We start from the raw sequence: 14,407 nt of genomic DNA, 5'->3' as shown, positions 1-14,407 counted from the left end.
GCTCTCGGCTTCTTTCAGTGCCACAGGGCCGGCTGCATGTGCCCGGGCCGCAGGAAGGCACTTACCCAGCATGAGGAGCACCTTCTGAAGCTCCCCTTGCCTGGCGGAGAAGTACAGCTGCTTTGGGTGGAAGCGAAGCTTCTTGGGTCTGTGGGAAGCACAAGACAACAGTCAGCATGGGGCTCTGCATCCCACACATGAAGCTGAAGGCTGGAAGGCCCGGCGGACATCTCCCCACCAGCCCCTCAAGCTCATGGGGCTCCGCGTCCCACACATGAAGCTGAAGGCTGGAAGGCCCGGCAGACGTCTGCCCACCAGCCCCACAAGCTCAAGTGCAAACCCACCAGTCGAGATATCTCATGGTAAAAACTGCGGACAAGAAACTGCGTTCCCAGTCACCGCAGGAGAACACTACGCACTGTGAGGCTTTTACACAACACGACGACAGAACCAGCGCAGGATGCAGGGGAACCTCATCTACGCTCAGCACAGCCGGGACCAGCCCCAGCCAGGATGAGCCCACACAGCGTGGTCACGAGTGAGGGCACAGCTCGCACTACAGAAGATGTCCTGGGCGGTGAGAGCTGGGAACACTGGCACTTTTGCTCTGAAACCTTAACTCGATGACTAAGCTGATAACTGATATGGTGTGGACCTCTGTCCCTCCCAAAACTCACGTTGAAATGTGACCTCCAGTGTTGGAGGTGAGACCTGGTAGAAGGTGACTGGATCCTGGAGGCAGATCCCTCATGAATGGCTTAGTGTCATCCCTCCCCCTGGTGATGAGTGAGTTCCCGCTCAGTCAGTTCCCACAAGATCTGGTCGCTTAAGAGTCTGGGAGCCTCCCCCTTCTCTGTCTCTTGCTACTGCTCCTGCTTTGCCTTCCACCATGACTGTAGCTTCCTGAGGCCTCCCAAGGAGCAGATGCCAGCACCATGCTTCCTGTACAGTCTGGAGAACCGTGAGCCAATTAAGCCTCTTTTCTATATAAATCATCCAGCCCTGGGCATTTCTTTATATTGACACAAAAGCAGACTAACACAATCACCAAGGGATGGGGGAGAGAGTGGGGTCAGGAACAGTCTGGGGTCTGGTCAGCGAGCAGAGCCTGTGGGTCAGGAACAGTCTGGGGTCTGGTCAGCGAGCAGGGCCTGTTGGCGTCAGCAGATGGTACCGTCGCTTCAAGAGCAGGCTCAGAGGCGAGGCTGGAGGCAGACAGAGGGGAGATCCAGGGAGGAGGCACCGCAAGCCTCACTGCCACAGTCTGGTCTGCCTCCCTGGTGGGGCAATGCTGAGAGGAGGACGAGGAGGGGTGGGTTTTTGTGAGCTGTCGGGAAAGCCTGGAGGGCCCCTTGGCCCAACCCTCGCATTGCACAGATGGGGTGTGGCCTGGGAGGGAAACGGAGTCAAGGCAGCAGAAGCAGTGTCTGCTCTCATGACCTAAGGGCAGCTCAGGGCCAACAGCAACCAGGAAATGTTTGTCAAAGCTCACCAAGACCTGCCTCCTCACTTAGGACTTCAAAGGTGTCAGAGGTTGCTCTTACTATAATGCAGAGGACAGTAATTTACAATAATTTCCCAAAATAGTGTGAAAATATACGAATTATTCTAACGAACAGCATTAATCAAAAAGCTGAGAAGTGCTAAAGTGACACCATGGGGAAAAACGCGGGGTGCAGATTAAAACAGGCTCTGAGACATCTCTGAAATCACATGTCAGGTCTTACTTTTCCGAGTCGAGGGCGATGAGAGCGCTCTCCAAGGTTTCCTTCCCTGGTCCCTGGGAAAGGCCGGGAGTTGGCCTCCCAAGCCCAGCAGGTCCCGTTGGATCAAAGCCCTCGGGCACGTGGGAGGCTGCACCCTGCAGCTTGTCGTCCTCCGAGAGTGGTGGCCCGGCAGCACTTCAGGGGAGGAAATCGGGGAAAGGTTTATGAAAACACGAAACATGGCCTGTTCCGACTCTGACTGCCCGAGAGCGCTGTTTTCTAAGTGAGAGCTGCGGATTTGCTTACTGTCCGCTTAGTCCCTGGATTTAACGGTTCAGGATTCAGAACCAAATTTCCTGAGAAAACTAGGGCAACTTTTCCTAGACTTCTGGGCAGCGTGTTCAAATACACTCTCATGAATGAGCTTCAAGCTGAATCTATCAAGTCCACTGCCCACCCCAACAAAAGGAAATCCCACTGGAATTTTGATTCAAAGTGCATTAAATTTACAGGTTAATAGGAAGGAATCACCTTAACATGTCCACAATTTGAGTCTCTTTTAAATAATCTTCAAGGAAGTTTATTTTCTTTATATTAGTGTCACATTTAAGTTCTTTGTTCTGCTGGGTAGTAACAAGTTTTGTTGCTGTTTTGAAAGGGTCTCTTTTGTTATTTTATTCTCAGGCAGGGAACTGCTGCTAAGGAAGAAGGCAAGTGGCTTCTATCTCTTCTTATCAGATCCTCTTACTGACTCTTTTGAGCTCTAAAAATTTTTCAGCTGTTTCTACTGGACTCTTTCAGGAAGACAATTGTATCTGTCTAATATGAACACTTCTAATTATTTTAGACTTTTTTGTCTTCAGCTAAGGCCTTCAAACCTTAATACCACAGAACTCGGTCACAGACTGCAGCAGCCACCACTCGTCTATCGCTTGTGTACCAACAGGACTGTGCCATCAACAGAAACACCACAGAGCTACATCAATGGGGGTGCTGTGAAAACCGGTTCAAAACAGGCAAATGGATCTACATAACCAAACCGAAAGAGAGCAACGTATGCACAAATGGCAATAAATGAATTTCAGAGTCTTAAATGTCAGAAATCACCATAAGCATCAGCATCAGCTCAGAGACTTCTGGAAAAAACAGCAGGAAGCAATAACGTTGAGTTAACAACTGAAACTTTTTCAGGTGGACGACTGGAGAGCCCAGCCAGAGCCTGTGCCAGGTACCTGCCCGTTGTGGTGTCGGCCCTGCCCTCCAGGGCCGAGCCCTTCTCCTGCCCGGGGACTGGTGTCACGGTCGAGGTGGTGTCTGCTTTAGCTATCGTCACCTCTTTGGCCTTGGAGCTCTCCTCCCCACAGTGGGGACAATAGCTGGCGTTATTGACTCGAGAGGCACAGTCTTTGTGGAAACGGTGAGAGATGCTGCTCTCGGGCTGACACTCCATAAAATTACCCTAAAAATGGGAGGACAAAAAAAAATTTTTGTTTTAATTGGGGTTAATATTTAGAAAAATAAAGTACTACTAAACTGGCACCGCATCCCACATCGGGCGGTCTGCAGAGTGAGCCATGGGTCGGGGTGGGGTCCAGTCTTGGCCCCAGGCATCGTTAAGAAGGAGGAACGATGCTTCCCGTGGTGCTCTCGCCCCACAGAGAAGAAGCTGAAGCCAGACAGAGGTCACTTGGCTGCCTCCAACCCACCTAGGCCCAGGAAAGCTGAGGCTGCCCGCAAAGAGAAGGCCTAAAGAAGGACCCAGAAGGCCCCTACTCTGAAGGGCGGATAGGGACAGGGACAGACGACAGCACCTCAGGGCACAGCATCAGGCAGGTGGAGCTGCCTCAGTGCCCAGCAGTGCGCAGCAGATGTGGTTTGGCGACCCAGGTGAGCCTCGAGGAGGGGCACACAGCCGTAAGAACAGCATTTTCTTGCAGAAAGCCAGAGATAAACAGATGTAGCAGAACCAAAAAAAGGATGTTTGAAGATGGGGAGGACATGCAAGGTGTGAAGTCCAAAGAAAGTCTCCCAAAAGTGGAAGCTCTTGGCCCATGTTCGTAAAGGGGCAGCAGGGCATCTCTGGGTGCCTGAAGCTCACACTCAAACACTCACACACACAGGCGCACACAGACAGACGCTTACAGGCAGAGGCTCACACAGATGTGTGCGCGCACAGACACACACACACACACACCCTACATGCACGAGGATGCCCACACAGGGGAGCTCCAAAGGGAAGCAGCCCATTCTCGGGGGGCCCTGGGCACGGCTGAGCACAGATGTTTGACATTGAAGTAACTGATGACCCAAGATCCCAGCAGAAACAGCCCAGGGCACAGCAAGGTGCTGCCACCTCTCCCAGGAGCTGTGTGCTCTGGACACCCTTATCATGGGGGGTGAATGTCCTCAGTACACCCTTGTCATGGGGGATGAACGTCCTCAGTACAGCCTCCACCTGGAGTCTCCAGTGCGTCACAAGCCCCTCACCACTGCTCTCGAGCCCCAGTGCCTTAGACACCTTCACCCCCAACCCTCACTTCCCTCCTCTGGCCTGGAAGCCCAGGTCACACCGTCCTAGTCATCTCCAAAAGCGGTTTCCAGGCGGTAGGAGGGAAATGGGGGTTGGGGGTGAAGGTGTCTAAGGCACTGGGGCTCGACAGGGGTGGTGAGGGGCTTGTGAACACTGGAGACCTCCAGACGGACACCAGACCTGGGCCAGCTGCTGGACCACCCGACAGCAGGTGGACACAGGACAGGAACCAGCACCAGTGAGCAGACAGCAAAGCCTGCGGAGGACTCAGAGGCTGCCGGACTGGGCTCTTACCGCTGTGCAGAAGTAGCCACAGCCAGGACAGCACTGGTGCTTCACCATGCGGCCCCGGTGGTCTTCACACAGCACGAGGAGCGGGGCCTTGTTGGAGGGGCGCATCAGCTCATACTTGACCACGCTGTTTGTGCACCGGCCCAACTGCAATCAGACAAGACTGGTGGTCAATGTCAGAGTCACGAGAGGCCGGCATTCCCTCCCACCAGGCGCTGGGCAGTGCAGGCACACAAGAGCTGCTCAGCAGGTGTGGGCTGACTGAGCCGAGCCCTGCAAGGCCAGCTTGGCTTTGCAAGCACTTATCGAGCACCTGCTACACGCCTCAGCACGGGGGACAAACAGGGAGCCCAGAGAAGGAAACGCCCATCATCTGCACAAACTGCAGGAGGCAGCGGCACATGAGCAGGTCCAGTGGGCCAGGCGCGACCACACCCACCAGATCCAGGGGGCCAGGCGTGCCCACACCCACCAGATCCAGGGGGCCAGACGCGACCACATCCACCAGATCCAGGGGGCCAGGCGCGACCATACCCACCAGATCCAGGGGGCAGGCGTGCCCACACCCACCAGATCCAGGGGGCCAGGCGCGACCACATCCACCAGATCCAGGGGGCCAGACGCGACCACATCCACCAGATCCAGGGGGCCAGGCGCGACCATACCCACCAGATCCAGGGGGCAGGCGTGCCCACACCCACCAGATCCAGGGGGCCAGACGCGACCACATCCACCAGATCCAGGGGGCCAGGCGCGACCATACCCACCAGATCCAGGGGGCAGGCGTGCCCACACCCACCAGATCCAGGGGGCCAGGCGTGCCCACACCCACCAGATCCAGGGGGTCAGACGCGACCACACTCACCAGATCCAGGGAGCCAGGCGTGCCCACACCCACCAGATCCAGGGGGCCAGACGCGACCACATCCACCAGATCCAGTGGGCCACATGTGCCCACATCCACTCACATGCGCCTACCAGAGGGCCGGCTGCTCAACTCTGGCAGAAGTCAAGGAAGGTTCTGGGGTGAGAGGGGTTCTGGGCTGGGTATCCAGGAAACATGAACGTATACCTGGCAGGACAGTCCAGGCCATCACAGGCCAGCAGTGGGCAGCGGTACAATGAATCTGTGGGAGCCCCAAGGATTCTGGGGCAGCCAGAGGAACCTGCACACAAGGCAAGGAGCAGGACACAGAGTCTGGGGCCTGACTGGGGAACATGGTCACTGGAGGATTCTGAGAGGACCAGGACTTGAAGGCGCCTGTGGAGGTGGAAGCAATGAGGGCACCCAGGATGCCAGGCACTCTGCAGCACACCAGACAAAGCCTTACAGGTTTGCTACGGAAAGTTCTCTGATAGCCAATAAGAAAACAAGAAGTAGCCCCCCCAAAAATAAGCAAATAATTGAGTGGCATTTCACTAAAGAAGAACTACAAATGCCCCCCAAAGGAAATTACACAAAGAAATTCAACATAAGCCTCTGACATTCTTCGTATTCGGTCTGGCACACTGCAAAGCTGGTATCTGTGGGGTCTGCAGAGATGACACACCATCACTGTGAGTTCTGTCCAAACTTCACAGCAAGCAACTTGGAGACATGAATCAATTACAAATACATATTCTTAAGACTCCACTTGAAGATATAATTAAGTGCACAAACATGTATCTAGAAGGACCCAGCTTTTGCAATAACAGAAAAGTAGGAACAACCAACCTGTCTACCTGCAGAAGAGTGGCTGCAGGGCACGCCCAGGTGGCATAAATGATCTACCCTGAAGCCAGCAAGAGACTTCTCGATGCCCAAATGAGGCTGCATTAGAATCACCCAGGCAACTTTTTTAAAAGACAGTCTGGGCCCCACCCCAAACCTATGGAACAAGACCTGAAAGGCGTAGAACCAGGGCATGTACATCCTGAAAAAATGCCCCCTCCACACCACCACCACCAAATGCTTCTGCAGTGACTCCCTGGTTCAGGACCAGCGGCTGCAGGGCACTTGTACCTACTGACTTTGAAAAATGTTTACATTAAAGGAAAAACAAGTTATTTTCAAAAATTCAATGTGGTTATACACATAGAAGTCTAGGAGAACATACAAAAGTACTAAGAATGATTCCCTCAGTTTTGGAATAAGAAGTGATTTTACTTTCTTATTCATGCATGTATGTAGTATCTGGATTATTTTACAATCGGCATGCATTATTTTTACAATCATAAAAACGATAATGCTGTATGATTCTGGCTCTGTGCTGTGTAAGAAGGAAACACAGAAGGGAGCTGCGGGGTAGGGGGTCCAGGCAGAACGGCAGGAGAATGTAAGGAAGGAGATGTTCTGGGAAGGATATATCAAATAAATGACAATGGGATCCAGTTAGGGTTGGGAAAAAAGAGATAAAACAAGGAATCCTTTAACAAGGTGGGAAAAACACAGATGCACTGGGGTGGCCCCACTGAGGTCACCATGGGTGGGAGGGGCACCCTGGGTTCACCACAGCAGAGTACAGATTCACCGACTGCTGACCGGATCCTGAAGGAGGGACCAGAACAAGAAAGGAGCCCACCACAGGGAGGTGCTGTGCTTTCAGGACAGAAAGCAGCTGAAACAGGTACTGACTTCACAAAGTAGAGATAACCCAAACCTGCTTGCCTGAAGGTGGGTCCGCACCGGCAGAACCCTGGAAGGCTAAAGAATCAGGGCCAGCTTCGGTGGCAGGGGCTGAGCTGGTGTAAATACAGAGCTGGCGAGGCGGAGCCTCAGACGAGGTCCATGCAGCTAGGCACCCCACCTGGCGCAGGTGAGGGGTCACCCTCTGCAGAGGTGGCCACAGAGCTCACTATCTACTCTCCACACAAGCCCACCGCTACAAAACGGTTTCCTATTTTTTTAGTGTCTGTTTTATTAAATATTCTATTAAGAAAACTTTCAAAAATAGAGACAAACGTAAAATGTATCCCCATGTGCCCATGCCTAATTTCAAAAATTACCAGTATTTTCTCTTCTCGTTCAAGCCATCCCCTATAACCTTTTGTGCTTGGAGAGGTGTGCTGGTATATTTAGCAAAGTACCTAGGGGTAAAATGATGCCATTTTAGCCATAAATAACTCCATATGCATTGCTAACAAATCATACTTCATATAACCTTAGAACCATTATCAAGCGGAACACAGGTAGCACTTTCTCAGCGCAATTTAATACCCAGTGCCCACAGGCTCTGCAGGGCCCACAGGCTCTGCATGGTGGCTTATTAGGACACAGTGGGGTGTGCAGCTGTCCTGGGCTAGCCTTTCCTCAGCTGTGGGAATGCCCTCCCTTCCTTCCTCTTCCTTGGATCTGGTTTAAACCAGATCTGGGCTCCACTGTGGGCCCCGCTCCTGAGCGAGATACAAAAGCCTCCAAGTTGGGGTCCCCTGTGACTCATCCCAGCTGTTCTGCTGCTCAGGTCTGCCGATGGGGCCCCTCCCTTCCTTCCCAGTGGCACCCTCTCTGCCCGACGCTGCCCGAGCAAGCATGAACAGACAAAGTCCAAAGGTGGGAACAGCACTGCTGTAGCCAAAACGCCCCGCCACCCCGGTCTCCTCGGTAAGACCCCAGCACCCCCATCTCCTCGGTAAGACCATGTCGTCCAGCAAGGTGCTCGCCTGTGGTGAGCTAAGACGAAAGAAGCTGAAGCCAACCAGCCAAGACCAGGACTCCGAGGAGCACAGAGACGTGCAGACAGAGAAGTGTTTGTGGGAGACACTAGCACGATTATGCTCAAAGACATGGGAGATAGCAGGGCGCAATGGCTCACGGCTGTAAACCCGAGGTGGGAGGATCACCTGAGGTCAGGACTTTGAGACCAGCCTGGCCAACATAGGGAAACTCCGTCTCTATTAAAATGCAAAAACATTAGCCAGGCATGGTGGCGAGCACCTGTAATCCCAGTGACTTGGGAGGCTGAGGCACAAGAACTACTTGAACTCAGGAGGAGGAGGCTGCAGTGAGCAGAGATTACGCCACTGCACTCCAGCCTGTGTGACAGAGCAAGACTCCATCTCAAAAAAAAAAAAAAAAAAAAGACATGGAAGATGGAGGCAGCTCTGAGGGGAGAACTGGAGGGCCACAGTGTCCGTGACATGAGAGAGAACACTTCAGAATTCAAAGGCTCAAAATAGTTATCTTCTGAGCAATGTGTCTTAAGAACTAAAGGTTATGCACCACCAAGACAAGAGTAAAGTGAAGATATGTGATCCAGCAACTTGATGTGTCTGAGAATACAAACATGCAATTCTATCAGTTTGGGAATGGGTTTATAACAAGTACACAGAAAACAAAAAAATGAATAGGGAGGCAATGATTAGCTCTAAGGAAAACAAACAAAACAAACTCACTCAAGAAAGGAAAGGCAATCCAGGCAGCTGTGAGTGCCTCCCCCAGCAGGACACAGCCTGGAAGCTGCAGCCCCAGGGAACCAGACCCATTGCTCACTCTTCTCTTTGGTTCGCTCCTGGGTGCTCAGAGGAGGCAGGGAAGGTGGAGACCAGAAGCCTCCTTGGTGTGAGGCCTACATGGATCCTTCTGTCTTGCTGAACAAGGTAGCTGGCTGGGAGGGAAGCGAACCCTATGGCCTAGGGCACAGGTGAAAGATTATGGCTGTCACAGCTATAGGGGAGGTATCTGGTGTCCAACGGGATACTGCTCAGCACCAAACAACGAGCAGGGCAGCCCCTTCTTCCCCCCAGAGAATTACTTGGCCCAACACATCAAAAATATTGAGGTTGAAAAGTCTTGCACTAGAGAAATCTGAACCCACTGTCAAGAGAGAGAAACATCAACAGAAGCACACTCAGAGATGACTGAAATGTTGTACTACAGACGAGGAATTTCAAGAACGTCAGCGTAAAACGCTAGAAACAAACAGTACCAGAGATAAATGCCTTTGACTGGCTCAGAAGTATACTCAACAAGGAAGAACTGGTGAATAATTTTAAAGGCCAACATAAATTATCTAAAACTAAAATGGAAGGAGAAAAAAAGAGGAGGGCATTGAAGAGCTGTGGGACAATGTCAAACAATCTAACGTGTGTACAAGGAATCCCAGAAAGAAAGAAAAAAACACAAGACTGAAGAAATAAAGTGGGCCGGGCACAGTGACTCACACCTGTAATCCCAGCACTTTGGGAGGCCGAGGCGGGCGGATCACCTGAGCTCAGGAGTTCCACACCAGCCTGGGCAAGATGACAAAACCCTGTCTCTACTAAAAATACAAAAATTAGCCAGGTGTGGTGGCGCAAGTGTATAGTCCCAGCTATTTGTGGGGCCAAGGCAGGAGAATTGCTTGAGCCCAGGAGGTTGAGGCTGCACTGTGTCGTGTTCATGCCACTGAACTCCAGCCTGGGTGACAAAGTAAGACCCTGTCTCAAAAAATGGAAAAGGAAAAGGAAAAGGAAAGAAAAAAAGTGATAGCTGGCTAAGAATTTCTTAAACATAAATAGAGATCAAGTCAAAGATCCAAGAAGCTCAGCGAAACCTAAACAAAATAAATACCAAAAAAGCAAAACAAAACAACAAAACCCACCACACTCAGGCACATCATTTTCAAACTGCTGAAAACCAAAGCAAATATTGGTGGCAGACAGAGAAAAATGACATATAGTATGCAAAGGAACAGAGGCAAGTTCAGCCAATGTCTCATTAGAAACCATGCAAGCCACACTCGAGTAACCTCTTTAAGGGCTGGGGGGTGGGGAACTGCCAACCCAGAATTCTATGTCCCTGGAAGTAAGTATCTTTGAAAAATTAAGACAAAACAACTTTTTCAAACAAACAAAAGCTGAGAGAATTCATTATCAGCAGCCTTGTGCTACCAAAAAAAGAGTTATTGGAAAGTCTTTAGATACAATATAATAATACCACAAAGACAGAAATTTGGATACAAAGGAATAAAGATCTCTGGATATGTTTAAGATGAAGGTTAAACTATTCTTATGTTTAATCAAACTAAAAAAAAATACTTAAAGCAAAAATAATAGCCAATATACTGTAGAGTTTTAGCATATATAAAATTAAAACGCAGAAACAAGATACAAGACAGGACCTACTGTAAGATTCTTACACTGTATGTTATGTGGTATAATGATTTGTTGGAGGTAGACTGTGATAAATTAAAGATGTGTATTGTACACTCCAGGGAAACCATTCAAAACATTAGAAAAAAGTTCAAATAATAAAGCCAATATTGAAATAAATTGGAATCATAAAAAATTCAAATTCAAAAGAATGCAGAAAAGGCTGGGTGTGGTAGCTCACGACTGTAATCTCAGCACTTTGAGAGGCTGAGGCGGGCAGATCACCTGAGCTCAGGAGTTCGAGACCAGCCTGGCCAACATGGGGAAACCCCGTCTCTACTAAAAATACAAAAAATTAGGCTGGGCGCGGTGGCTCACGCCTGTAATCCCAGCACTTTGGGAGGCCGAGGCGGGCGGATCACGAGGTCAGGAGATCGAGACCATCCCGGCTAAAAACGGTGAAACCCCGTCTCTACTAAAAATACAAAAAATTAGCCGGGCGTAGTGGCGGGCGCCTGTAGTCCCAGCTACTTGGGAGGCTGAGGCGGGAGAATGGCGTGAACCCGGGAGGCGGAGCTTGCAGTGAGCCGAGATCCCGCCACTGCACTCCAGCCTGGGCGACAGAGCAAGACTCCGTCTCAAAAAAAAAAAAAAAAAAAAAAAAAAAAAAAAAAAAAATACAAAAAATTAGCCGGGCGTGGTGGCGCACATCTGTAATCCCAACTACTTGGGAGGCTGAGGCAAAAGAATCGCTTGAACCTGGGAGGCAGCGATTGCAGTGAGCCGAGATCCTGCCACTGCACTCCAACCCGGGCAACAAGAGTGAAACTCTGTCTCAGAAAAAAAAAAAAAAAAAAAAACACACAGAAAATGAAGAAAACAGGAAAACAGATGGTATAAGTGGAAAAACTATTACGATGTTAGCCTGCAATCCAGCTATATTAATACTTACATTAAATGGAGATAATCTAAATATATCAACTTAACAAAGGGACCGTGATGCAGTCATGTCTCACGTAACAACACGGTGTGTTCTGGGAAATGTGTCACTGGGTGATTTTGCTGGTCTGAACATCACAGGCTGTACTTGCATGAGCCTAAATGGTGTCGCCCACTCCACACTCAGGTTATGGTACCCAATGTTGCTCCTCGGCTACAAAGTTGTACAAACATGACTGTACTGAATACTGTAGGCAGCTGTAATACAACAGGAAGTATATGTACATCTAAACATATCTGATCACAAAAAATTTGCACTAAAAATACAAAACAGGTTGAACACCCCAAATCCAAAAATCTGAAATGCAAAATGTTCCAAAATCCAAAATTTTCTGAGGGCCAATATGACGTTCAACAGAAATGTTCACTGAGGCATTTTTAATTTTTTTTTAATTTGAGATGGAGTCTTGCTCTGTCGCCCAGGCTGGAGTGCAGTAGTGAGATCTTGGCACGCTGCAATCTCCACCTCCCGGGTTCAAGAGATTCTCCTGTCTCAGCCTCCCAAGTAGCTCGGATTACAAGCTCCCGCCACCACGCCCATCTAATTTTTGTATTTTTGGTAGAGACTGGATTTCCCCATGTTGGCCGGGCTGGTTTTGAACTCCTGACCTCAAGCAATCCACCCACCTCAGCCTCCCAAAGTGCTGGGATTATAGGCGTGAGCCACCTCACCCTGCTCTCAGATTTTTGAATTTGGGATGCACAACTGGTAAGTATAATGCAAATATTCCAAAATCCAAAATGAAATCCAAAACACTTCTGGTCCCAAGCATTTTGAGTAAGTGATACTCAACCTGTATTGTAACCTTATCAGACCACCTTCATAGATACGGTACATCAACCTGTATTACAACCTTCACAGCTACAGTCCATCGTTGGCTGAACGCTGTTACGCAGCACGTGACTATGTTAGATAAAAGGGCAAAACCACCAGGCATGGTGGCAGCTCCAATCCCAGCTACTCAAGAGGCTGAGGCAGGAGGGTTGCTTGAGTGCAGGAGTTTGAATCTGCACCGAGCTCTGCCTGCACCGCTGCACTCCAGCCTGGGCAGCAGAGTGGCACATTATCTCTAAAAAATAAAAGTAGGCTGGGCACGGTGGCTCACACTTACAATCCCAGCATTGTGGGAGGCCAAGGCAGGTGGATAGCTTGAGCCCAGAAGTTCGAGACCAGCCTGGGGAACATAGTGAGATACCATCTCTACAAAATAAAAATATTAAAACTTAGCTGGGCGTGGTGTTGCATGCCTGTAGTCCCAGCCACTCGGGAGGCTCAGCTGGGAGAATCACCTGAGCCCCAAAGGTGGAGGCTGCAATGAGAGCCACTGCATTCCAGCCTGGGGGTCCAAGTGAGAACCTGTCTCGAAAAATAAAATAAAGCAAAATTTTTCTTTATTAAAAGAGCAAATCCAACTACATGCTGTCTACAAGAAAGCCACTTTAAATTTAAAGACAGAGACAGACTAAAAGCAAAAGTGTAGAAAATGACGTACGGTGCAAACATTAATCAAAAGAAAGCTGAGTAGCTATGTTAATATCAGACAACACAGCCTTTAAAACAAAACAGGTAGTTTTTGTTTTTGTTTTTGTTTTTGTGACGGAGTCTCACTCTGTCGCCCAGGCTGAAGAACAGCAGCACGACTGATGCTCACTGCAACCGTCGCCTCCCAGGCTCAAGCAATTCTCCTGCCTCAGCCTCCCAAGTAGCTGGGACTACAGGCAGGCGCCACCACAAGTGGCTACTTTTTGTATTTTCAGTAGAGATGGTGTTTCCCCATGTTGGCCACGATGGTCTCAAACTCCTGAGCTCAAGTGACCTGCCTGCTTCGGCCTCCCCAAGTGCTGGGATTACAGGCATAAGCCACTGTGCCTGGCCTGAGATATGTCTCTCTATAAAACCATTCCAGTGAACAATGAATAATAAATGATAAAATCAGCACCATTTTGAAACCTCCAATGAATAAACAACAAATGTAGGTGTTAAGCATCAGCAGCTGCCAATATCAGAGAAAGTGAGACAGCCAGACAACATGGCCCTTCATTTTGGGCTAAACCCTCCCCACACTCAAGAGTACTACAAAGGGGCCAAACTTGTAAGGCTGTTTAAGTTTTTTTAAGAGATGGGGTTTCATCATGTTGCCCAGGCTGGTCTTGAACTCCTGGGCTCAAGCAATCCTTCTGCCTCGACCTCCCATTTTACAGACATGAGCTACTGCACCCGGCCTTGGCAGGTTTTGCAAGAAACACAGAGGAACCTGCTGAGTTGCCACCTAAGTGTGGGATTCACAGAATCCAGACTATGGGAGCCTCGAAGCTTCCAACAGCCTGGGTTGTTCAACAGACACATTGAAAGAAAAAGAAGGGACCGAGAACAATATAGAAATTGAAGGACAGATGGGCAGCAGTGCCACAGGGGAAGCTACAAACCTAAACAGTGAAACTGACCCTGGAAGTGGGCGTTGTGGGAGTCGGGACAGAGGCTGCTGGGCGGGGCTGCCGGGAAGAACACAAGCGGGGACAGGCTGGGGCGGCGGGGGCGGGGGGAGTGGGGCAGTGAGGGGAGTGGGGCTGGGGGGTCAGGCTCCGCTTCTCCACCTTGGCGGTGTTTACCAGAGCTCAGCTGAAGTTGGTTTGTTCAGCCCAATGTTTGTTTTGTATGGTCTTCGGGATCTACGTTTCATTTAATTTAATTTATTATTATTTTGAGTTTTCTATCCAAAAAATAAGTGAGAGCCCAAGGGATCTGTGTTTAATTTTAAACAAAAAAAGCTTACCACACATTGAATACAGAGAAGACCATGAGTTCTTAAGAATGCTAAGGGAGAAAGGGAGG

General features: G+C 49.8%; 1 protein-coding gene across 31 annotated transcripts in view; it reads right to left on the bottom strand.

Annotated features, from left to right (window-relative positions):
• EHMT1 (euchromatic histone lysine methyltransferase 1) overlaps window positions 1–14,407 on the bottom strand; it is a 217,123-nt gene that overhangs the window by 56,345 nt on the left and 146,371 nt on the right. For 27 of the 31 annotated variants that reach the window (XM_047423872.1, XM_047423875.1, XM_047423878.1 and 24 more), the window contains 4 exons: window positions 4,531–4,674; window positions 2,939–3,165; window positions 1,728–1,901; window positions 66–148 (listed from right to left, as the gene is read on the bottom strand). In XM_047423872.1, the coding sequence (XP_047279828.1) occupies window positions 66–148; window positions 1,728–1,901; window positions 2,939–3,165; window positions 4,531–4,674 (628 nt within the window). The remainder of the gene's footprint in view (window positions 1–65; window positions 149–1,727; window positions 1,902–2,938; window positions 3,166–4,530; window positions 4,675–14,407) is intronic. The other 4 variants (XM_047423883.1, XM_047423884.1, XM_047423885.1 and 1 more) reach the window with 1 other exon arrangement.

The sequence above is a fragment of the Homo sapiens genome, chromosome 9 (assembly GCF_000001405.40).
Source record: "Homo sapiens chromosome 9, GRCh38.p14 Primary Assembly".
NCBI classification, from domain to species: domain Eukaryota; kingdom Metazoa; phylum Chordata; class Mammalia; order Primates; family Hominidae; genus Homo; species Homo sapiens.
This window is presented reverse-complemented; position numbering and strand designations above follow the sequence as displayed.